General features: G+C 39.7%; 1 protein-coding gene and 1 long non-coding RNA gene across 31 annotated transcripts in view, besides 1 other annotated feature; one reads left to right on the top strand and one right to left on the bottom strand.

Annotated features, from left to right (window-relative positions):
• Nucleotides 1-23,552, top strand: part of MTRF1 (mitochondrial translation release factor 1) — a 95,670-nt gene that overhangs the window by 66,429 nt on the left and 5,689 nt on the right. For 25 of the 30 annotated variants that reach the window (NM_001354074.1, NM_001354076.1, NM_001354073.1 and 22 more), the window contains 4 exons: nucleotides 5,177-5,349; nucleotides 11,603-11,720; nucleotides 19,042-19,178; nucleotides 22,256-22,354. In NM_001354074.1, coding sequence (NP_001341003.1) covers nucleotides 5,177-5,349; nucleotides 11,603-11,720; nucleotides 19,042-19,178; nucleotides 22,256-22,354 — 527 coding nt within the window. Of the gene's footprint in view, nucleotides 1-5,176; nucleotides 5,350-11,602; nucleotides 11,721-11,891; nucleotides 12,208-15,020; nucleotides 15,098-19,041; nucleotides 19,179-22,255; nucleotides 22,355-23,552 lie in introns of those variants that run through there. The other 5 variants (XM_047430799.1, XM_047430801.1, XM_011535326.4 and 2 more) reach the window with 4 other exon arrangements.
• KBTBD6-DT (KBTBD6 divergent transcript) overlaps nucleotides 8,924-23,552 on the bottom strand; it is a 103,759-nt gene continuing 89,130 nt past the window's right edge. The window contains exon 4 of the long non-coding RNA NR_120423.1: nucleotides 8,924-10,494. This is a non-coding gene — a long non-coding RNA (KBTBD6 divergent transcript). The remainder of the gene's footprint in view (nucleotides 10,495-23,552) is intronic.
• Nucleotides 23,211-23,260: a silencer, noted in NCBI's record as "silent region_5289". NCBI's record gives its function as "represses an Ori minimal core promoter by ATAC-STARR-seq in GM12878 lymphoblastoid cells {active_cell/tissue: GM12878}" and the evidence as "EXISTENCE:reporter gene assay evidence [ECO:0000049][PMID:35858748]".

Genomic DNA, 23,552 nt, shown 5'->3' with positions numbered 1-23,552 from the left:
TAGAAAGATATGACTACAAAATAGGTCAAAACTATCATCTGCTATTTCAAAATAAGTAATTAAGAGGCTGAGCATGGTGGCTCACACCTATATTCCCCAGCACTTTGGGAGGCCAAAGTGGGAGGATCGCTTGAGCCCAGGAGTTTGAGACCAGCCTGGGTCCCACATGGTGAGATCTTGTCTCTACAAAAAATTTTAAAAATTAGCTGAGCATGGTGGCACACGTCTGTAGTCCCAGCTGCTCCAGTGGCTGAGGTGGGATGGCTTGAGCCCAGGAGGTCAAGGCTGAAGTGAGCCAAGATTGTGACACTGCACTCCAGCCTAGAGGACAGAGTGAGACCATGTCTTCAAAAAAAAAAAGCAATATGAAGTGTCAAAGAATCTGATAAATCAGGATTAGAAATGAAATGACAGACTCAGGAAATAATTAGAAAGCAAAGAAAAATCATTTTAGAAATGAATAAATCAGAAGGAACATATGAGCAGATAAACAGAACATTTAATGCCTTAAGAAAGTAGTAGTTAAAAAGGAAAATTTTTTTGAAATCAAGAAGAAATGAAGAAAGATAATAAAGGAGTGAAGAAAATGACAAATATTGTTGATAGGCAAAAAGATTGATTAGATGATAAAAGTCAGAGCAGATACTATATTTGTTATTTATTGCTGTGTAACAAATTACCCAAAGCTTAGCAATTTTAAAGAACAAACATTTTTTATCTCACAATTTATGAGGGTCAGGAATCAGCTGCTTTTTTGAGTGGCACAGGGTGTCTCATGAGGTTGCAGTTAAGCTGTTGGGTGGGGTTGTTGTCATCTCAACACATGACTGGGGTGTCAGGGCCTGCTTGCAAGCTCACTCATGTAGTTGTAAGCAGATACCAGCTTTTCACCACGAGGGCCTCTCCACAGGGCTATTCCCAACATAGCGACCTGTTTCTCCCAAGTAAGTGATGCAAGATGGAGGCCATGGTTCTTTATAATCTAACCTCGGAAGGTGACATAGTATCACCTCTGTCATACCATATGCTATTGATCATACAGACCAGCTGGGAGGGAACTGTAAGGGTATGAATACCAGCAGGCAGGGATCCTGGGGGGCCACCCTTGAGGCTGCCTGTGACAAATACTAACATCTATATTTCCAGAGAACTCTTCTGAAATAGAAATAAAAGATTTGAAACCATGTGCACATCTGAAAATACCCAGCTAGAACGACCAACACTAAGACATAGGCTAATAAAATGTTTGGACTTACAAAAAAGGGAAAAGACCCATTAGGCACGTAGAAACAAAGACCTTGAGACTTATAAGGCAAGGATTAGATTTCCTTCAGACTTTTCAGTAACAACACTTTGTGCCAGAGAGAGAGTTCACTGAAAGAAAGAAAGTTGAGTTAAGGATTTTATAATAAGCAAAACTGACTTATAAATGTGAAGGGAACAATTTGTTATCATTATGCAAGAATTCAAGAAATACTCTTCCCATGATCCCTTTCTGAGGAATCTACTAGAAAACAAGCTTCAGACAACTGAAATGAGAGATAGCAAAATAAGGAGTAGGGGTGAACATTAAATATGCAGTTACCTGAAGAACTGGGACTAATTGAGGGCTAAGGGGAATAAATTTGTTACATAAGGACTGTATGATCTGACAGTATAGATATAGTACAATCATTTGAAAAATGGGAGGCAAATGGCAAGAGCATATGCAAAAAAGTTTTAATGTTTTTAGTAATTGTATTGGTAGAACTAGTATTAGTATTCTGAGACTGTTAGGTGTGTAGTGTAATATAAAAACAGATAAGTAATTTTGGGATATTTTAATTCTAATGCCCTCTCTTTGAGAACCAAGATTCTTGGTATGGGAAGAAATACAATAAAAGTGTGGTAGAAAAGAGGTTGAAGTTGAATTTAAATTGGAAGTGTCAGTTGTAAAAACTCTGAAAGGTCTGAGATTTTACCCTACTTGCAAGCTAACAAGTTAGCCTGCTGCTGTTTCATGGGTCAGCAGTGAAGGACAGTTTATTACTCAGGGTTATAGCAGTAGCCAGAGTATTAGCATTTTTGTGCCAGTTCCCTGAGCCCAGAGTCCCACAGGGCAACAACTAAGAAGACCAGATGATACCTGCCCACACAGTAGGTTGCATTATAGGAGAAGAGCACTGAACTTAAGGAAATTGAGTCTTTTTTTTTTTTTTTTTTTTTGAGACAGGGTCTCACTCTGTCTCCCAGGCTGGAGGGCAATGGCACCATCACAGCTCGCTGCAGCCTCAACTGGGCTCAAGCCATCTTCTCATGTCAGCCTCCCAAGTAGCTGGGACTACAGACACGTGCCACCACACCTGGCTAATTTTTTTATTTTTATTTTTTTTAATTTTATTTATTTATTTTGAGATGGAGTCTTGCTCTGTCATCCAGGCTGGAGTGCAGTGGCACGATCTTGGCTCACTGCGACCTCCGCCTCTCAGGTTCAAGCGATTCTTCTGCCTCAGCATCCTAAGTAGCTGGGATGACAGGTGCGCGCCACCACGCCCAGCTAATTATTGTATTTTTAGTAGAGACATGGTTTCATCATATTGGTCAGGCTGGTCTCGAACTCCTGACCTTGTGATCTGCCCGCCTCGGCCTCCCAAAGTGCTGGGACTACAGGTGTGAGCCACAGCGCCTGACCATAATTTTTGTATTTTTTGTAGAGATGGAGTTTGACTGTGTTGCCCAGGATGGTCTTGAACTCCTGGGCTCCCGCTGTCTGCCCCCCTCAGCTTTGCACAGTGCCAGGATTACAGGCATGAACCACTGCGCCCAGCCATTTTTTTTAATGCGCAGTAAGCATGCTGCACATTGCTCTAGAAAGAGACACTATCTCTGTCTTCCAAGGCTGTGGAAACTTGTCCTTTGCTCTGGAGGGACACATTATTTCCAAGGCTGTTCACTACACAAACCGCCTTTAAAAGATATTTTAGAGCGAAATAGCCAGCAATGCTTCATTTGTAAGATGTGCAGGAACACAGGAGACCCATGGAAAATTGGGTCTCAACATCATATGAACTCATGAGGTATTTCCTATTTCTGGCCACTGAAAAGGCTTAGAAATTATAACCAAATCCAGTAGTAGTGGACAACCCTAGCCCCCAAATTGTGATTTTCAAATACTATTTTTCTCTTGAACCAGGGCTTTTTGGAGACATGGCTGATTCCAGGTCTAGGGTAAAAAATGTTCAAGATAATCCTGGAATATCTTGTTATGCCATACAAATGGGGCATGTCCCATACAAATGGGGCATGTCAGAAGAATTCAGAAGTCAATTTGAAGAGGCTCTATGGGCCAACGATGGGACTAGTTGAGCTTTAATAATAATTGTGCTTGATTTAAACGTGCTAGATGTGTTTCAATCCTTGAGTTCATAATGATAATTTAAACTTTTAATTGGTCATCTTCAGAGGATTAAAATGAACCAGTTCAGTATATTACAAAAAAAAAACGTTGGTATCTTGGTAGAACTGATAAAAGGGACAGAATCAAACATTTATCTTGCTTTTCCTATGTAATTGTATCACCATGTAATCAAATGGTAGACAAGGGGAAGTGTCTCTTTATTAGTGTATTTTAACTAATAAGTGAGAAAGGAATGATAGAATTAGACTTATCACCATTTTGTAACCCCAGTGATGCATTCAGTGTCAAAGCCTGTCAAGACTGTAAAAAGAGAGACATCCAGACACCGTATACCTCCTGTCGTCTTGCCAAAGGGCTCGAGCTGGTGTCTGATCCAGTGTCTGCATCCAGCTGCCTAATTGCTGCCGATACAGAGGGCAGCAGAACAGGGTGACTTGCACCAAGAATATGCAGTCTGCAAAAACAGACTGTTGGAAATTCTACAGGTCAGCAGCCCAAGTTCTTCACCAGATCATTTGTAGGAAATGAAAGCAATGGATGATGAGCATGTGGACTAATAGACTAAAAAGATACATCAAACATTTTTAAATGGGCAGGACTAAACTGTAGCGCCTAGGGCTACACGTTTAGGTAATGAAGTTATGATAAAGAAAGGAATAAAAGTCAGGATAATGATTACTCATAGGGAAGAGAGAGGATTATGTCTGGAAATGGCATTTGGGAGGGCTTATGAAGTGACTAGCACCGTTCTTTTTCTTGACCTGAGTGGTGGACTCTAAACCACATATTTGATTTGTGTGTTTTTCTGTCTTTCATATATTATTGTATCATAAAAAAGATTTTTAAAAAAACATTAGATAAGAACAAGTGGCCGGGCATGGTGGCTCACGCTTGTAATCCCAGCACTTTGGGACCCCAACGCAGGCAGATCATGAGGTCAGGAGTTCGAGGCCATCCTGGCCAACATAGTGAAACCCCGCCTCTACTAAAAATACAAAAAATTAGCCGGACGTGGTGGTGGGTGCCTGTAATCCTAGCCACTCAAGAGAACGAGGCAGGAGAATCACTTGAACCCAGGAGGCAGAGGTTGTAGCGAGCCGAGATTGCACCACTGCACACCAGCCCCAGTGACAGTGCAAGACTCTGTCTCAACAACAACAAAAAAAGAACAAGCTAGCCTAGGTGTTAAGATTCTTTGTGATACTCTTCCCACTCCATAGATAAGCAAGAGCTGACTTTCAATAAATTCTTGAAAATTTGGGAGGATCTGTAGAGTTATTCAACAGTATGAAATTATTCTCCTATTGAGCATTCTTTTATATATGATACCCTATTAGCCTAAGACTACACAGGGTAGTTCAATACAGAAAACATCCCAGTATTATTTTTTTGTTCTAATAGTAGTTTTCCCTTATTATAAAAATAAAACTTGTTCATTATAGAAAATTTGGAAATAAAAAAAGTATTATTCTATTCCCCAGACATAACGAAATAATATTTTGGTATGTTTCCTATTGTTGCATCACTAGCTCCTATAATTAATTACATTTTGGTATGTTTCCTTTTGTATTTTAATACATTTACATTGGAAAACTGTAGTTTTGTGCATACTTTATGTCCTCTTTTCTTCTTCTTCTTCAGAGGCCCTCGTTCTCCCATGCTTTATGTTCTCATCTTAGGCTCTGTACTCAACATTCAGGCCTTAGATTAAGGACATTTAGGATCCTGATCTGTTTCAAAGGATAATTCATTACTATTTCTGGATTGTTGTTCCCCTAGGTGGACTACATCATGCAGCCGCCCGAATTTCCGGTGACGGTGTCTATAAGCATTTGAAGTATGAGGGTGGGATTCACCGAGTTCAGCGCATCCCCGAGGTGGGCCTGTCCTCAAGGATGCAGCGCATTCACACAGGAACGATGTCGGTTATTGTCCTTCCTCAGCCAGATGAGGTAACCTCAGGAGGAGGCAAGGGAAACTCACTCCATGTCAACGGGTATTGTGCTGGAAGCCTTAGCTTCTAGGAAAATCTGTCCTTTTTTTTTTTTTTGAGACAGAGTCTCGCTCTGTCGCCCAGGTTGGAGTACAGTGGCGCGATCTCTGCTCACTGCAACCTCCACCTCCCTGGTTCAAACAATTCTCCTGCCTCAGCCTGCTGAGTAGCTGCAATTACAGGTACACGCCACCATGCCTGGCTAATTTTTTTGTATTTTTAGTAGAGACAGGTTTTCACCATGTTGGCCAGACTGGTCTCGAACTCCTGACCTCGGGCAGTCCGCCTGTCTCGCCCTTCCAAAGTGGTGGGATTACAGGTGTGAGCCACCGCACCCAGCCGAAATCTGTTCTTTTCATGGCTACAGATTGGACTTTATAGTCTCTAATGGGAAATGTTTAACTCTCCCCTAGGCAAAGTTGCCCCTCTTATCATTGACCAAGATGTTTTGTTTGCTTTTAAATAGAAGTCACTTATTTTCAAAAAAAAGTTCATTTAATGTTGCTGCCTAAATTTTATCTTAAGAAAGAAAATGAATTCCAGAGATAATATTTCAAGGTCAGTTGTATAATATCAGTATGGGGACCATGTATCTATCTTTTTAGTTGAATACAGCCATCTGCTCTATATTTTTCTTTTCCCTAACCTTTTTTTTTTAAACATACAGAAAATTTAAAGGATACCACAATGAAAATTTTATAACCTTCACCTGAGGTCAGTTGTTTACATTTTCTCACATTTGCTTGATTCCTATATATATGTGTATACATTTATTTAAATGAACTATAAAGGATACAGCAGACACCATGAGACCTTACCTTCCAAATCTTTCACATAGATCTCTTAGGGCATTCTCCGATGTAAGCACACTACCATTACCTATGAAAACTAAACATAATTGTATAATATCTAATATCTAGTACATTTAACAGTTTCCCTAATCAGCCCCCAATTTTTTAATAGCTATTTATTTATCTACTTTTGGAGGCAAGGTCTCGCTGTGTTGCTCAGGCTGAACTTGAACTCCTGGGCTCAAGGTGATCCTCCTGCCTTAACCTCCTGAGTAGCTAGGACTACAGGCATGCCACTATACCTGGGTATAGTGATTTTTTTTTTTTATCCAGGATCCTGTCAAGTTTCACACATTACAATTAGTTGCTATGTTTCTTTAAGTTTAGAACAGTCTCCCAACTTTTTTTTTTAGTGATAATGACTTCTTGAAAAGTCTAGACCATTTGTCTTGAAGAATGTCCCACATTCTGGATTCCTCTGACTGTTCCTTGTGGTACTCTTTAACTTGTTCCTTTATCCTCTGTATTATGTTGAAAGTTATATCTACATGTTCCATTCTGTGCAGGTTACACATTTTGAGCGAGAATACTTCATAGGTGCAGTTATAGTCATGTTGCATCTTATCAGAAGACACATAATGCTAGATTGTCTCACTTTTAGTGTACCTTAGTTTTAGTAGTTAGTGAAGATGGTGACCACAGAAATATCTCCATTGTAAAAGTATATTTCTCCCTTTGCAATTACTAAGTAATTTCTAGGGTACATATATCCTGTTCCTAATTACCTTTCATCCATAGTTTTAACATCCATTGGTGATCCTTGCCTGAATCAGTTCTTTACTTTGGAGTTGCAAGATGGTGATTTTCTAATTCCGCCATTCCTTCCACATTTATTAACTGGCATTCTTCTGTAAAGAACTTTCCTCCCTACTACCTTCTCACCTCCTACCCCACACTTGCATTCTTTTTCTAGTATATGATTTCATTATAAACTCATGTATCAAGTTTCACGTATTAACCTCATTATAGACTCATGGATTCATGTTTTAATTCACTTATTTATAGTTACTATTCTTCTTTACCTTCAAATAGTCCCAGATTTGGTCTATAGTAGCCTTTTAGGGTACCTCTTTTGTCCTTTTGAAATGATACCATCATTTGAGTGCATCTATGCTTTCTGACACAGTTAGATTCCCAGGCCCATTTTGTACTATCCTGCCTCAGACTTAGAGTCAGCCTGGTTCATTTTAGTGGGGAATGTATCCAGAAATCAAGATCTAGATAGTAGGTCTGTTCATTATCATTAGTGTCGTTACTTCTAGACTCTTTCAGTGGCTATAGCCAGGAAATACATGTTTTGAAATCAAAGTTTCATATTATTACTACCAATTCAAATTTAACATTACAGAAATTTTTGTCACCCCTCAACTTCTTGCATTTTGTGTTTACATCTCTCCGTTAATATAAAAAATCTTGTTTCATAATCACTTTAATATGTTTATTTGGTTTATTATATACTATATATAAAATAGTTTCAAAATTATAATATCGACATTACTAACAGTAAACTACTGAGTAATGTTTAAGATTTTTCCCCTTAGAATATATTCTACCAAGAATGTATAGTCAGGCTGGGTGTGGTGGCTCACGCCTGTAATCCCAGCACTTTGGGAGGCCAAAGCAGACGGGATCATTTGAGGTCAGGAGTTCAAGACCAGCCTGGCCAACATGGTGAAACCCTGTCTCTACTAAAAATACGAAAAAATTAGCCAGGTGTGGTGGCGCGTGCCTGTAGTCCCAGCTACTCAGGAGGCTGAGGCAGGAGAATTGCTTGAGCCCATGAGGCGGAGGTTGCAGTGAGCTGAGATCATGCCATTGTATTCCAGCCTGGGCGACAGAGTGAGACTCTGTTTCAAAAAAAAAAGAATGCATAGTGTGAGCACTATGCTCAGAGATCATCTGAAATGATTTTTTTCTGTGTGGTTATGTTATTATGATAAATATTTTGGTTCATTTATTTCTGTTTTTATTTCATTTTAGGATTTGATTTTTCTTTTCTCTTTTACTTAATTATATTTTTATATATTAAACATTTACATGGTTAAAAAAGCAAAACCATAGAGTTATCTTGCTTCAATCCTTATTTCTTCTACCCCATTCCCACTTACCCTGTTTTTATTGTCATATTCTTTTTTTTTTTTTTTTTTTTTGAGACAGATTCTCACTCTGTCACCCAGGCTAGAGTGCAGTGGCCCCATCTTGGCTTACTGCAACCTCTGCCTCCCAGGCTCAAGTGATTCTCCCACCTCAACCTTTTGAATAGCTGGGACTACAGGTGTGTGCCACAATGCCTGGCTAATTTTTATATTTTTTGTAGCGACGAGGTTTCGCCATGTTGCTCAGGCTGGTCTTGAACCTCCTGAGCTCAAGTGATCTGCCTGCCTTGGCCACCCGAAGTGCTGAGATTACAGGCGTGAGCCACAGTGCCGGGCCTGTTTTTATATTCTTGAAAATTAAACTCATTCAGTGGCATTTCACTATTCTAAAAGTACAAGGTTATGTTCTCTTAACTGACATTTAAAATGCTTTATCTGCCCTAAGTCACCATTTCTGTATCCAGAGTTCCCCAAAAGTCATTAGATCATTTCTGTAACATTTGGGAGAATGTGACATATGATATCCACACATTTTCTATGTAACTACTTAATATACTATAGCCACATGAAATGGTAAGTCACTCTTATCTCTTCAGTATTTATTGATGTCTTAAGGCAGCCAACTCTAACATATATTAACAAAAGCTGTATAATCATTTTCTTCACTGTGTTGCAGTCATTTGAGAGGAAACATACAAAAGAACAATCAGCTAAACAGTGTATTAGATTCCAGCCTTGACCCAGTTACTAGTTACTTTTCAAAGAGAAAAGTCACATCTGCTTTCTGTCATTCACACTAATAAATGATGAATGTGGAACAAAATGTTAGCTCTCCCCTAAAAAATAGCATATTTGTTGTAGGCCGGGCACAGTGGCTCATGCCTGTAATCCAGCACTTTGGGAGGCCAAGGTGGATGGATCACAAGATCAGGAGTTCGAGACCAGCCTGGCCAACACGGTGAAACTCCATCTCTACTAAAAATACAAAAAGTAGCTGGTAGTGATGGCACACACCTATAATCCCAGCTACCCGGGAGTCTGAGGCAGGAGAATCTCTTGAACCTGGGAGTCAGAGGTTGCAGTGAATTCTGAGGTCACGCCACTGCACTCCAGCCTGAGCAATAAAGCAAGACTCTTGTCTCCAAAAAAAAACCAAAAAAAACAAAAACAAAACAAAACAAAAATATTTGTTAACTGTGTGTGTGTGTGCGTGTGTCTGTGTGTGTGTGTCTGTCTGTCTGTGTCTGTGTATAAGTTTCCAAACTCTTGAACCTGGGAGTCAGAGGTTGCAGTGAATTCTGAGATCACGCCACTGCATTCCAGCCTGGGCAACAAAGCAAGACTCTGTCTCAAAAAAAAAAACAAAAAACAAACAAAATAAAAACATATTCGTTAACTATTTGTGTGTGTGTGTTTCTGTGTGTGTGTGTGTCTGTGTCTGTGTATAAGTTTCCAAAGGCTGCTGTAACAAATTACCACAAACTTAGTGGCTTCAAATAGCAGTAACTTATTATTTCACAGTTCTAGCAGCCAGAAGTCCAAAATCAAGGTGTCAGCAGAGTTGTGCCTCTCTGAAGGCTCTGGGGAGAATCCTCCCTTGCATCTTCCAGCTTCTGGTTGCTCCAGGTGTTCCTCGGCTTGAAACGATAACACTCTTCAAATTCACATGGTCTTCTCCTTTACTGTCTTTAGTTGTTTGTTATAAGGACACTTGTCATTGGATTTAGGGCCTATCCTGATAATCCAGGATAATTTCATCTTAATTACATCTGCAAAGAACCTTTTTCCGAATAAGGTTCCATGAATTAGAATATGAACATATCTTTTTGGGAGCCACCTTTCAATCACTAATAAACACACACATGCACGAATGAAGTTGATTTTCATTATTCCCAGTAGTTATGTTCTGTAAAGTTGCAGCAAACACTAATTTAGTAGATTCTGAACCACTTGGCAGTAATGGTTCAGTATTTGTTAAATCAGTGTTAGGAACAATGGTTCAATATTAGCTAAATCCAGCTGAGCGTGGTGGCACACACCTGTGGTCCCAGCTACTCAGGAGGTTGAGGCAGGAAGATTGCTTAAGTCCAGGAGTTCAAGGTGGCAGTGAGCTATGATTGCACCATTGCACTCCAGCCTGGGGAACAGAGTGAGACCCTGTCTCAAAAAAAAAAAAAAAATTAGCTAAATTCATACACACACACAAACACACACTGAGCTCACATAGATTATAATCTTAAATTCTAAAAATAACCCATCCTGGTAGATTCTCTATACTTTACAAAAGAGAAAACGAGGCTCAGGAGTGTCAGGTGACTTGCCTGATGCTGCTCCACTAAAAGGTGCTAGAGTTCAGATTCAAACCCAGTCCAAATTGGCCCCAGAACCAGAGCACTGCTCTGCTCTGCCCCCTACACCTCCATTCTCTGGTCATCTCTGTAGGAGAGCTGCCACAAGAAGGCAGAGTGTTACCTTGTCCTACTTCAGCTGGCAATGGGCAAATGTGGAGCAACTCATATTTTTCACTGCCCTATGCATGTCTGCAAATGACTGTGGAAGTGCCTCGGGTGTTGATTTGTGGATACAAATAAATTTTAGTGAGTAGGCAAATTTGCAAATAGACATTCTGACAATAATGAGAATCAACAATATATAGTATATATGTGTGTATTTTATATATTTTTGGGGTTTTCTTACATGTAACTTTGGGATGATGAATGATGAAACTTTTGAAAGATTGAAAACTCAGTGATCTCATAACATCCTAAATCAGTGCTTAAAAATGGAATCCCAGGGCCAGGTGTGGTGGCTCATGTCTGTAATCTCAGCATTCAGGAAGTCCAAGGTGGGAGGATCGCTTGAGGCCAGGAGTTCAAGACCAGCCTGGGCAAAATAGCAAGACCCCATCTGTACAAGAAATTTTTAAAATTAACATGGCACGGTAGTGCGCACCAGTAGTCCTAGCTACTCAGCAGGCTGAGGCAGGAGGATCACTTAAGCCCAGGAGTTTGAGGTTACAGTGAGCTATGATTGTGCCACTATACTCCAGCCTAGGCAACAGAGGGAGACCCTGTCTCAAACAAACAAAAAATAGCATCCCATTGGAATGGGGAGTTTATTGCTCTTTCTTTGGTATAAGTTACTTCTCTTAGTCTAAAGGCTATAATTTATCTTAAAACAATACAGTTTATTTGAAAAATCTTGGAATCGATTTTATATTAAAGTATTCACGGAGTGTAGAATTATGCCATGCCTTCTGTTCTAGGTGGATGTGAAATTGGACCCCAAGGATTTGCGAATAGATACATTTCGAGCCAAAGGAGCAGGAGGGCAGCATGTTAATAAAACTGATAGTGCCGTCAGACTTGTCCACATCCCCACAGGTAAGCAAGCCCCTTGGCTTTGTACTTTTAACCCTTTTTCCATCTTACTCAGCATTTGGAAGGAAATAGTCCTATATGAGTGTCTGGTTCCTTGCACAGCTCTTTAAAAATGTCACTGGGGTTGTGGATCAGGATGGCTATTGTGTTCATATTTCCCTTCTGTTTGGAAAGATTCCTTTCTGAAAAGATGCAGACGGTGAGCAGACCTATTCAGGGAAGCTTCCCAGGTATGCTGGATGGGAGTGAGCAAACAGAGGTGCCCCAGCCTAAATACAGATGAAACACAGAAGCAGCCTTGCACAGGCCACCACCGTGGATATTCTGTCACCTTGTAGCATGACAGCTAACTCCATTAGGCTTTGCTGCACTAATGCTTTTATTTTGAATATTGGTAATTTTGGTATACTCTGAGGTAGTTTTGCTGTCCGTAATGTGATTTTAAATATTCCTACCGTTTTTCAAATTAAAATTTTATTTAACTCCTTAATTTTTTTAAATTAATTTTTACATTTCATGTATATGGTTTTAAAAGTCTAATGGCAAAGTCCTATAACAAAAAAACCAACAGCTCTCTGGACTTGTTCCCACCCTCTTCCTACTTCCTCTACTCTCAGTTCCCATTTCCTAAAGACAACCACTTTAAATTCTTTTTACTCACTTCTCTAGCTGCAAAAAACAAACAAATGAACCTCTTTTAGCTATTTCTTCTGGTAATTACCTCAGTATTTCTAAATAATAGGCAAATATTGCTCTTCTGACCAACTATAAAGATTATATATTTACATCTTAATGTGGTAGATGAGAATTTTGCCCTTCTTATATACCTTTTCTTCTTCCAAATATTTATCTTTTGGCAAAATTAATTTTCACTGTGTTCATATAATGAACAGATAGTGTTAGACGCTGAGCCCATTAGTATACAGTCCTGTGATTTCATTTCCTAGAGTTAATAATTACCTCATTGATTTTTCATTTGCCTACTTTTCTTTGACTCTGAGTCTGCTTACATCTTCCAAAAGTTGTGTAAAATGAAGTCACTCCAGTGCTCTCTGGAGACTCCATGACAGAGCACTCCATCATCTTGCTTCAGTGTGGACCAGCTGCTCCCCAGGACATTGCACAGGGGTTGTCCTGGTCATCAGCAGTTGGGGAGTTCCTTTCATCTCTGTTCTGTGTTGGATCCTCCCGTTTCTTGGGTTCTATATCATCTTTTCTCTTTGCTACTCTGTCATTTTAACAAAGCTCATCTTTAAGTGGCTTCCTGAGAAAAGATTTGTGACATGTAAATATTTCAAGGCTTTGTAGATCTGAAAATAGCTTTATTCTAACTTCACACTTCATCGATCATTTCATGGAAATAATTTCCCCTTAGAACATTGAAAGTCTTTTTCATTCCTTGTATTTGTTGCTTTCAGTTTAGAGACTCATGCCTTTCAGCTCTGAAATACTTTCTTCAATACTTTCTTGCATAACATTTTATTTATTCTTCCTGGGATTTCTATTAGTTAGATATTAGACCTCTTGAATTTGTTTTTTCCTCATATTGTCTGTCACTTTGTTTTTTAGTTCTTTTTCCTACCCTTTTTTCTGATTGTAAAAAAATTATTTTTTTAACTTTTGAGAGCTCTTTCTTGTTCTCAGAATTGTTTTCTCATAGCATCCTTTTCTTATTTTGTTGATACTTATTTCTTTTTTTTATTACTGAAGGATATTAATTTTAGTTTCCCTGAAGTTCTCTTCTGCTTTCTGCAGTGTCTCTGTTTCTTCTGAGTTTATTTTTGTTTCATTCTTGCTTTACTTTTCTTTTTTTTCTTTTTGAGACAAGGCCTTGGCCTGTTGCCCAGGCTGGAGTACAGTGGTGTGATCACAGCTCACTGCAGCTGTGACTTTCCCAGGCTCAGGTGACCCTCCCACCTCAGCACCACTCCCCCGTCCCAGCTTCCTGGTAGCTGGAACTATAGGCGCTTGCCACCATGCCTGGCTAATTTTTGCTTTTTTTTTTTTTTTTTTTGGTAGACACCAGGTTTCTCCACATTGCCCAAGCTGGTCTCCAACTCCTCGGCTCAAGTGATCTGCCTGCCTCAGCATCCCAAAGTGTTGGGATAACAGACATGAGCCACTACACTCAGCCCATTCTTACTTTCATGTTGGAAATTTCTAGGAATTCTTGGCTGTCTGTACATATTTAAGAGCCAGATTCTGAAGCTCTGAGTGCACTTATCCACATACCCATTAGTGAGTTCCACTGTGGAGCAGTTAGAGGATTAATCAGCTTTTTTATTAGGGACCCCCAGATGTCTATATCTGTAGACCTTTTCTCTTGTGAGTTTGTTTTCTCCTGAGAAGGATCTTCCAGGATACAGCTGAGAGTAAAGTCAAGGTCTCACCTTTCAATAGCAGTTGTTTACTTAATCCTCTTGTCTTCCCGCCCATACTCCATACTTGCCCTCCCTTATAACTAGTCCCAGGTCTGGAATTTTCCTGATTTAATTATCCAGAAATATACCTCCTGCCTTCTGCAGATTGAGGAAGGAGACTTGAGGATCTATTTGTTATTATAGGCTTTCTGTATTTAGCCCTAGCTCCTCAAGCCTGACTTCTGAAATACCTGGTGTCTCTATTTCTGAGCCTTTCTGGCACTTAGCAGGGCAAAGTGGCCAGTTTCTGGTCAGCATCTCCCTCTACAGGGAATTAAGTCTCACCTTCCTTCCAGCTGCTAAGTCATTTACCATTCTTCCATCCACTTTCTGTCTTTAATAGATCATGTTTGGGGATTATATATATCACCTAGTTTTATTTCAGATGGAGTTTGTGTTTCTGTTCTTTGTTCTTGTTGTAGTGTGATTTAAAAAAAGCGGGGTGGGGGCCAGGTGCAGTGGCTCACGCCTGTAATCCCAGCACTTTGGGAGGCTGATGCAGGCAGATCACCTGAGGGTCAGGAGTTTGAGACTAGCCTGGCCAAAATGGTGAAACCCTGTCTCTACTAAAAATACAAAAAAATTAGCTGGGTGTAGTAGTGTATGCCTGTAGTCCCAGCTACTGGGGAGGCTGAGGCAGGAGAATCAGTTGAACCCAGGAAGCAGAGGTTGCAGTGAGCCGAGATCATGCCATTGCACTTCAGCCTGGGCAACAAGAGCAAAACTCAGTCTCAAAAAAAAAAAAAGGGAAACCATCTTGAAGTCAGACATGATTATGATTGCTTGTATTGTTTGTTGTATGAAAAGTTAAAACAACCTAAATATCCAAAATAGGATAATTTCATACTTTCTCTTGTTTCCTTTATTGATTTTTATTCCATAGGAAACTGTTAAAAAAAAAAAAAAAAAGGCCCGGTGCAGTGGCTCACGCCTGTAATCCCAGCACTTTGGGAGGCCAAGGCAGACAGATCACCTGAGGTCGGGAGTTCAAGACCAGCCTGACCAACATGGAGAAACCCCAGCTCTACTAAAAATACAAAATTAGCTGGGCCTGGTGGCGCATGCATGTAATCCCAGCTCCTCGGGAGGCTGAGGCAGGAGAATTGCTTGAACCTGGGAGGCAGAGGTTGCAGTGAACTGAGATCACGCCATTGCACTCCAGCCTGGGCAACAAGAGTGAAACTCCGTCTCAAAAAAAAAAAAGAAAAGAATATATGCATGAGCAAAAGAACATAAAACATCCGTAATAATAACCCAGTAACCATTGTTGGCATATATCTTTGGTATACATCCTTTCAAATTCTTTTCTGTACATATAAAAATATGCCATTTTTTCCCCAAAAATGAAGTTATACTTTTTTTTTTTTCTTAGATGGAGTCTAGCTCTGTCACTCAGGCTGGCATGCAGTGGCCAGTGAACCTTGGTTCACTGCAACCTCTGCCTCCAGTGTTCAAGCTATTCTCCTGCATCAGCCTCCCAGGTAGCTGGGACTATGGGTGTGCACCACCACACCTGGCTAATTTTTGTATTTTTAGTAGAGACGTAGTTTCACCATGTTGGCCAGGCTGGTCTCGAACTCCTGACCTAGAGTGATCTGCCCACCTCGGCCTCCCAAAGTGCTGGGATTACAGGCATGAGCCACCATGCCCGTCCTGAGGTTATACTTTTTGTAACTTGCCATAATTTATTTCAACAGTCCATAAATTGTTGAATACTTAATGTGTTTCACCTAAACCCTGTATTGTTGGATATCATTCTATATTATACACAGTCCAGAACAGTAATAATTAGCTTAAGATGAATTAAAAATTAAAATGGGTAAAAAATTGGGTAAAAGGTGATCAAAACTCTGACAAACCAGAATACTTTAAAACTTACAAGTTGTAAAACCACCCTATGTAGCCATAAATTGCTGACTTTACAAAAAGTGACTTACAGAGAGTAGAACTGTGGTTATTAGAGACTAGGAAGGGTAAGGGGGAGAGGAGGATAGAGAGAGGTTGGGTAAAGGATACAGAATTACAGCTGGATAGGAGGAATTAGTCCTGGTGTTCTGTAGCACTATAGCATGAATATGGTTAATATAGATTTATTTATTGCATATTTTCAGAAAGCTAGAAGAGAAGATTTTGAATGTTCACAACACAAATAAATGATAAATAAATTTTGAGGTGATGGATGTGCTAATTACCCTGATTTGATCATTCCACATTGTATCGAAATACCACTCTATATCCCATAAATATGTACAATTATTACATGTCAACTAACAATAAAGGGAAAAGAAAGTGACTTATCATTGTGCTGCCAGACTTACCTTGGGCCAATTATTTTTTAGCCACTTAGATCTGAGTCTTTGGTTTCAAAGAGGCCTGAAGGCCTACCCTCAAACCTTCCCTTTAGGCAAGCAAGGCATGTCAAGACCTAACCCTTATGAAGCCATGCAGTTATGACCAAGTGATTTCTTCAGCCTACTTCTTCCATATTTTGAGGATTGCCATGGTTTCAGCATCTGCTTCAAGGAAAACTCAGCCTTTCTTCCATTTCTCCCATTCTTTCTTCCATACTAAGACCTTAGACTAGGAACCGTCCCTGCTAGAATTCAAAGTGAGAACTATATAGCTCATTCTTCTATTTTCTCCATGTCATGGAAGAATCGTATTTTTTTTCTAACCACTGCTTCTAGATAATTTCATTTTCCACCATTGGAAGAGTTATTCATAGGGGTATGGTTAAATGTTTATACAGGGGAATATTACCTTTCTTGGGAAAATTTATCCCAAGATAAGGATGAAGACAAATGAATATTTTGTGCATTAAAGTGGGCTTTTTTTAGTTTATTACCAGTTGGTGAGTAAAAGATGGCCTCTGTAATTCTTTGTTTTTCTTTCTTTCTTTCTTTTGAGACTGGGTCTTGCTCTGTTGTCCAGGCTAGAGTGCAGTGGCATGATCATAGCTCACTGACTGTAACCTCGAACTCTTGGCTCAAGTCATCCTCCTACCTCAGCCCCCTGAGTAGCTGGGACTATAGGTGCAGCTACCACGCTGGCTAGTTTTTGTATTTTTAGTAGAGACGAAATCTTGCTGTGTTGTCCAGGCTGGTCTCAGAACTTCTGGCCTCAAATAATCCACCCGCCTTTGCCTCCCAAAGTGCTGGGGTTGCCGGTGTGAGCCATCGTGCCCAGCCCCCTTCTATTATTCAGTACACCTTCCCTCCCTCTACATCTTCTATTCTTAAGGGAGTACTCATTATTAAATACTCCTCTATAGAAAGTACATTATAATAAAATACATAATAAAGTGATTCCCTTAGGAATTACTGAGCTGGAAAGTAATAGTTTTGATCTAAAAGTTCTAACCTGAGTGAGTAGATAGGAATAATACAGGTGCTTAGGCAAAAATCAGTACAGATCAGCTGACAAGAAGAGGAATGTGGAGGAGAGCTCATGAAAGCCTGGCCGTCTTAAAATGGAAATGTTCATATTCTTTTGGGTAGTACAAAAAGGATACGAGAGTCAAGAAAACTCCAGACAAATACCTGGAAGATGGGGGCCAGCCAGTGCCCCCAGTCCAACCAGATGGCTGCAGTAAAGCAGTCAGGAAGTGATTAAACTAGTAGAGGTGAAACCTCAGTGCCCTACTAAAAGTATTAGCAGGTAGTGACTGTAGCTTATTTAGACAGGGAGAAAACATAGTTCAGAGAATAGAACTTTATAGAAATTCTTTACATCTCCAGCAAAATATTTACCACTGTATCGGTGCAGATAGGCTAAGCTAATGGGGCTTTTGGTTTTTAGTTTCTGTGATTCAGAAAGAAAATCCCTTTCTCCTCTAATGTACTGAGGAGCAGGATTTGACACGGACCTCAGAGTGGTAGCTGCAAAGTTAAGAACAACACAGCCTCAAGAAGTGATCGTTTCAGAGCTGGATTTGGACCAGGAACTGGACTACACAGTGGGCCAAACCCACCCAAATGCAGAAGCTGGCTAGCCAAAACTTGTGTGAGGTTAGATGTATTGATTAGCTGGACCCCAGCTAACTTAGACTACGCAGAACAACTTAGAAATTTAGAACTCAGAAAACTCAGAAACATTCACTATAAATTCTTCTTTTTAAAGACTCTGAGTAGCGTCTTTTCATTGGCTTTTTTCTATAAAGTTTTTTTTTTTTTGGTTTTTGTTGTTGTGTTTGTTTTTGTTTTTAACGGAGTCTCGCTCTGTCACCAGGCATAATCTCGGCTGACTGCAACCTCCGCCTCCCAGGTTCAAGCGATTCTCCTGCCTCAGCCTCCCAAGTAGCTGGGACTACAGGCACATGCCACCACGCCTGGCTAATTTTTTGTATTTTTAGAGATGGGGTTTCACTGTGTTATCCAGTATGGTCGTGATCTCCTGACCTTGTGATCCACCCGCCTTGCCTTCCCAAAATCCTCGGATTACAGGTGTGAGCCACTGCGCCCAGCCATTATAAAGGTATTTTTAAAACCTCAGCTCTGTGTATATTTGTGACTGAAAGGGGAAAAGGCAAGTTCTTCTTGAGTTGGACAGAGAATGGAGCAGCGCAGTATAGGGAGTAGCAGTAGTTTGCTGTTTGTTGAGCTGCAGAAATGCCCGGATGAGCTAGGAGGAAGAGGCCAAGCTCGGGGACTGAAAGGACAGGTAATCATCTGTGGATGCTGCTGCTTTCTGGGTGCTCATACGGAGTTCTCATTTACATATCAGAATCTAAAGAGCCAACTACAGCTATAATCATAACCCAGCTAGTTTCTGAAGTGTGCTAAACCTAAAATGTTTGTATCTTTTGTGATCTTTTCCTGATTAACCTGTCTCATTTAACTGTTCCTTGGTTCTATCTTAATTTGGTGGAAGCTACAGTTTACCTTCTGATCCCTGTTATTTTTCAGGGCTAGTAGTAGAATGCCAACAAGAAAGATCACAGATAAAAAATAAAGAAATAGCCTTTCGTGTGTTGAGAGCTAGACTCTACCAGCAGATTATTGAGAAAGACAAGCGTCAGCAACAAAGTGCTAGAAAACTGCAGGTAAGATTTACTTGGTATAATAATTTAGTGACTGTTTAAAGAAAAGTCATTTTCTGTAGAGAATGCAGTGTTTGTTCTTGCTTAAATGGGAATGTTTTAGAGCATAGAGAAATGTGCTCCTTTGTAAATAAGCAGTAACTCAGTACAAATGAACTGATGGGTTATGGCTAAACTTGGGCATACCAGTTTGCAAGTTAGTAAATGTAAGATGTATAAACTAAAAATTATTTCCTAGTTGTTTCCCTCTTGTGTTTATATCATTACTGTCTTAAGAAGAAAACGGTTTAAAAGACAAATAATTCTTTGAGAATTAAGAACGTTTTTTATTTCTAAAAATTAAAACCTATGCTTGTACTATAACTCTATGTGAGATCAAATACAAATGGCACTGCAAAAAACTGGGAACAGTGAATACTACTGATGGAGACTAGGGACAAGGGGTAGAAAGGAAATTTATTTTTCATTATGTACCATTTGGTACTTTTTGAATTTTGTACAATATATATGATATAGTGTTACTTTTTCAAATAGATAAATAGATGAATTCTAAGCAAAATGAATAAATGTCATTATTTTAAGTAAACCTAATATATAATTTAAATTCTTTTTTTTTTTTTTTTTTTAATGACAGAGTCTCGCTCTGTCACCAGGCTGGAGTGCAGTGGCGTAATCTTGGCTCACTGCAGCCTCTACCTCCCTGGTTCAAGCGATTCTCCTGCCTCAGCCTCCTGAGTAGCTGGGATTACAGGCACGTGCCACTACACCTGGCTATGCTACAGTAATTTAAATTTGGAAGATTTTGTGGCCTTTTAGGATAATGAATTGTCTAAACCTAAGCATTAGTTATACTTTTCATCTAGATGTATCCTAGCTTTTTCACACTTTCACGTTTCTAGCTTTCTTTACCTACACGCTAACTTGCAGGTAATAAAAGTGACAGGATAAATAATATTAACACTATTAGTGGTAATCCCAGATTGTAGTGCATCATCAGTGTATACACTTGCAGATAGGAATGCTCATTTACAAACCATAACTTATTTTTGCTTTTAACAAGCAAACAATATACCCTGGGTACACACCATCACTTCTTGGCAAATAAGTGATAACCACAGACACTATGAACTCTGCCACATTTGAATTTTAAAAAGACATTTGGATTTACTTGCCGTTTAACATTTTGGCACCAGGCGTTGCACAAAGTTTTTTTTTTTTTTTTTTTGAGACAGATTCTCTCTGTCACCCAGGCTAGAGTGCAGTGGCACGATCTTGGCTCACTGCAACCTCTGCCTCCCGGGTTCAAGCGATTCTTGTGCCTCAGCTTCCCGAGTGGCTGGGATTACAGACATGCACCACCATGCCTGGCTCATTTTTGTATTTTTTACAGAGATGGGTTTTTGTCATGTTGGCCAGGCTGGTGTCGAACTCCTGGCCTCATGTGATCTGCCCGCCTGAGCCTCCTAAAGTGCTGGGATTACAGGTGTGAGCCACTGCACCCAGCCCACAAAGTAATTTTTAAAATAGGTATTCAAGATTGGCTTTATGCAAATTGTTCATGTGTCTTCTTCAGTAGTCTGATTGACAAGCCAAAAAAGACGTCACTGCCTCTTGAATAACTTATCCACCTACCTGAAATGTTTTAATAGGGATTTCTAAGGCTTAGAAGTTTTTTTCTTCAACCAAGATATACACTTGGCTTTTATACAGAAGGCATTATGCCACATTCCCAATCCTGGTTCCACTGATCACCTAACAAGCTTTCGTAGATGCCCAGGCCCCACCCCAGAGATTCTGATGTAACTGATCTGGAGTGAGGTCCTGGCCATTAATATGGTGCTTTGGGACAGTGGTTTCCAAACTTGGCTGATTGTCAGAAGAGATGATCTGGGATGTTCTCAAAATACATAATTCTGATCCATTATATCTGAGGTTGGGCTTAGGAATCCATAATTTAAAAAAATTCTTCTAATGGTCAGGAGTTTAGTTTCATATCACTTGCCTTAGGGTTTAAGACAATAAGTTATAGAAATATCTTATTTTAAAAAGTGACAGCAATTGACACAGGGTGCTGTGTATATCGGGTGTTGGGGAGGTGGAGGAGATGAGCAGACTAAGAAGAATGCAAATAACTGTAGCATGAGACAAACTGTGGTGTGCCATGAAGAACATTCCAAGTACAGTGGATTTCAGGGAAGAAGAGAATGTATTTCAATTGCTGGGGCCAGAAAGGCAGAAATGGTAGGAGAGTATTAGAGAAGGGCATCCCTTGAGATGATGTTTTATAGCAGAGATAACCGACACACACATAATAATGACATAGTATTATTAGTGGCATTATGGAGATTAACGTAATTTTCAGAAATAACACTGGGAAGATTGGCCACGTTACAAAGTACCTTGAATGCTGAGTTGAGTTGTGTCTGCTCAGTAGACAAGAAGGAACCAAAGAAAATTTATCAGAAAACTGTACTGTAGGAAGAGTAAGCAGGGCAGCACAATGTGAGCAAAAAAATTGGAGATTAATCAGGAGATTTTTGCAGAATTGTAGGTGAAAGTAATGAGTCCATGAGTGAGAGGAGAAATGGAAAGGGCAGGATATAATAAGAGACCCATGAAACCAATTGGAAATGGGCAGTTGGAGAATGGGATGAACTGAAGATGGTCTCTCCCGCCGTGTGCATCTTTGTCAAAGCCTGGCATAGTAAACTCAGACCCACAAAATGTTTGATAAATTGCAGAATGTCAGAATTTTCTACTTGGATAAAAGAGAATACATGGTACTGTCATTTATAGAAACCAGGAGGGGGAACTGATTGGAGTGGAAAGATGATTAATTTGATTTTAAGGATTTGGAGTTTGAAATATCAAAGAAACATTCCTTCTTATTCTATAACCGAGCTCTACAAACCTGTAGTATTAAACATTAAGTTCTGCCCATTCTTTTTCTTTGTCATTTTGTATATATGTCTTTTAGAAAGTATCTAAATTGTTGAAATGGTCATTTGCCAAGTGCTTTTTCCATTGTAATGAAGACATTTATAAAGGTAAAATATAAATTGCTTTTTGTTATGGCACAGGTGGGAACAAGAGCCCAGTCAGAGCGAATTCGGACATATAATTTCACCCAGGATAGAGTCAGTGACCACAGGATAGCATATGAAGTTCGTGATATTAAGGTAATACTACTGAGTATGCTTTGCCTACCTTTGATTTCAGAAGAAAATATAGTCAAATTCTAGAACATATATGTAGATATTACCAAGTATATCTAAAATATTACCAAGTAATTTAAATCATTAAGCCACCCTAAAATTTACAAACACTTTTATTAGTTTGCTGGTTAAAAAAATAATGATCTTTATGCCATTTTGAAACAATGGTCTTTTCTAAATTCCAAATTCTTCGTTATGCAATCACAATGCATGAACGTATATTCAGTCTGCATATATACATGGGTATTGGTTTTCTATTGACAGGTAACAAATTACCACGAATATAGCAACTTAAAGCAGTACCCATGATTAAAGTATTATCTCATGATTTCTGTAGGTCAGAAATCTAGGGACAACTGAGCTTAGTTATCTTCTCAGGATCTCACAAGGCTGAAATCAAGGCATGGCCAGGCTCCATACTCTTCTGGAGCTTGGGGTCCTCTTCCAAGTTTATGTGGTTGCCAGCAGAATGCCATTGCCTTCGATTGTAGGACTGAAGCCCCCATTCCCTTGCTGACAGTCAGCTGGAGGCTGCTTTTCAGCGCGTAAATACTGTTGGAAGTTGTTTCCCAGTGGCTACCTCCAGAGACTCTCTCCCACTTTGAATCTCTTCTTGCAGGAATGACTCGGGCCTTTTTAAGGGCTCACCTGTTTAGGTCAAGCTCACCTGGATAATGTTCCTTTTGATTAACTCAAAGTCAGCTGCTTAGTCACCTAGGCACTAGAATGATACTCCATCATTTTCACAGGTCCTGTCTGCACTGAGAGGGAGTTATTCACAGTGTGTACACCAGGGGGCATCTTAGAATTCTCCCTACCACAATGTGTCTTCATTAGATTGAGGTGTTACAGTTAGGCTGTTGGGGAAAAGACTCGGTCAAGATTGTTTGAACATTAACCTATCTAAATCGCATCCAGCAAAGACCACTGACATAAATATATAAATATATTAATGATGAAGCACAGAAAAATGTCTTTTTTGTTGCCACTGAAGGAGAAAGTGAACTGGTCCCATAAAGGACTATGTGGAAAAGGCAGCAGACAGAAATCTTTGATGTTTTTCCTTGGTGCCATGTGATACCTAAGGCTTCTTTCACTTGACTCTGTCCCATCCTATTCTCAAAATTAAAGTCCTAGTTTTACAAGGGAAATATACCTTGTA

Source organism: Homo sapiens, chromosome 13 (assembly GCF_000001405.40).
Source record: "Homo sapiens chromosome 13, GRCh38.p14 Primary Assembly".
NCBI classification, from domain to species: domain Eukaryota; kingdom Metazoa; phylum Chordata; class Mammalia; order Primates; family Hominidae; genus Homo; species Homo sapiens.
The sequence above is the reverse complement of the archived record's forward strand: the minus strand, read 5'-3'. Positions and strand labels throughout refer to the sequence as shown.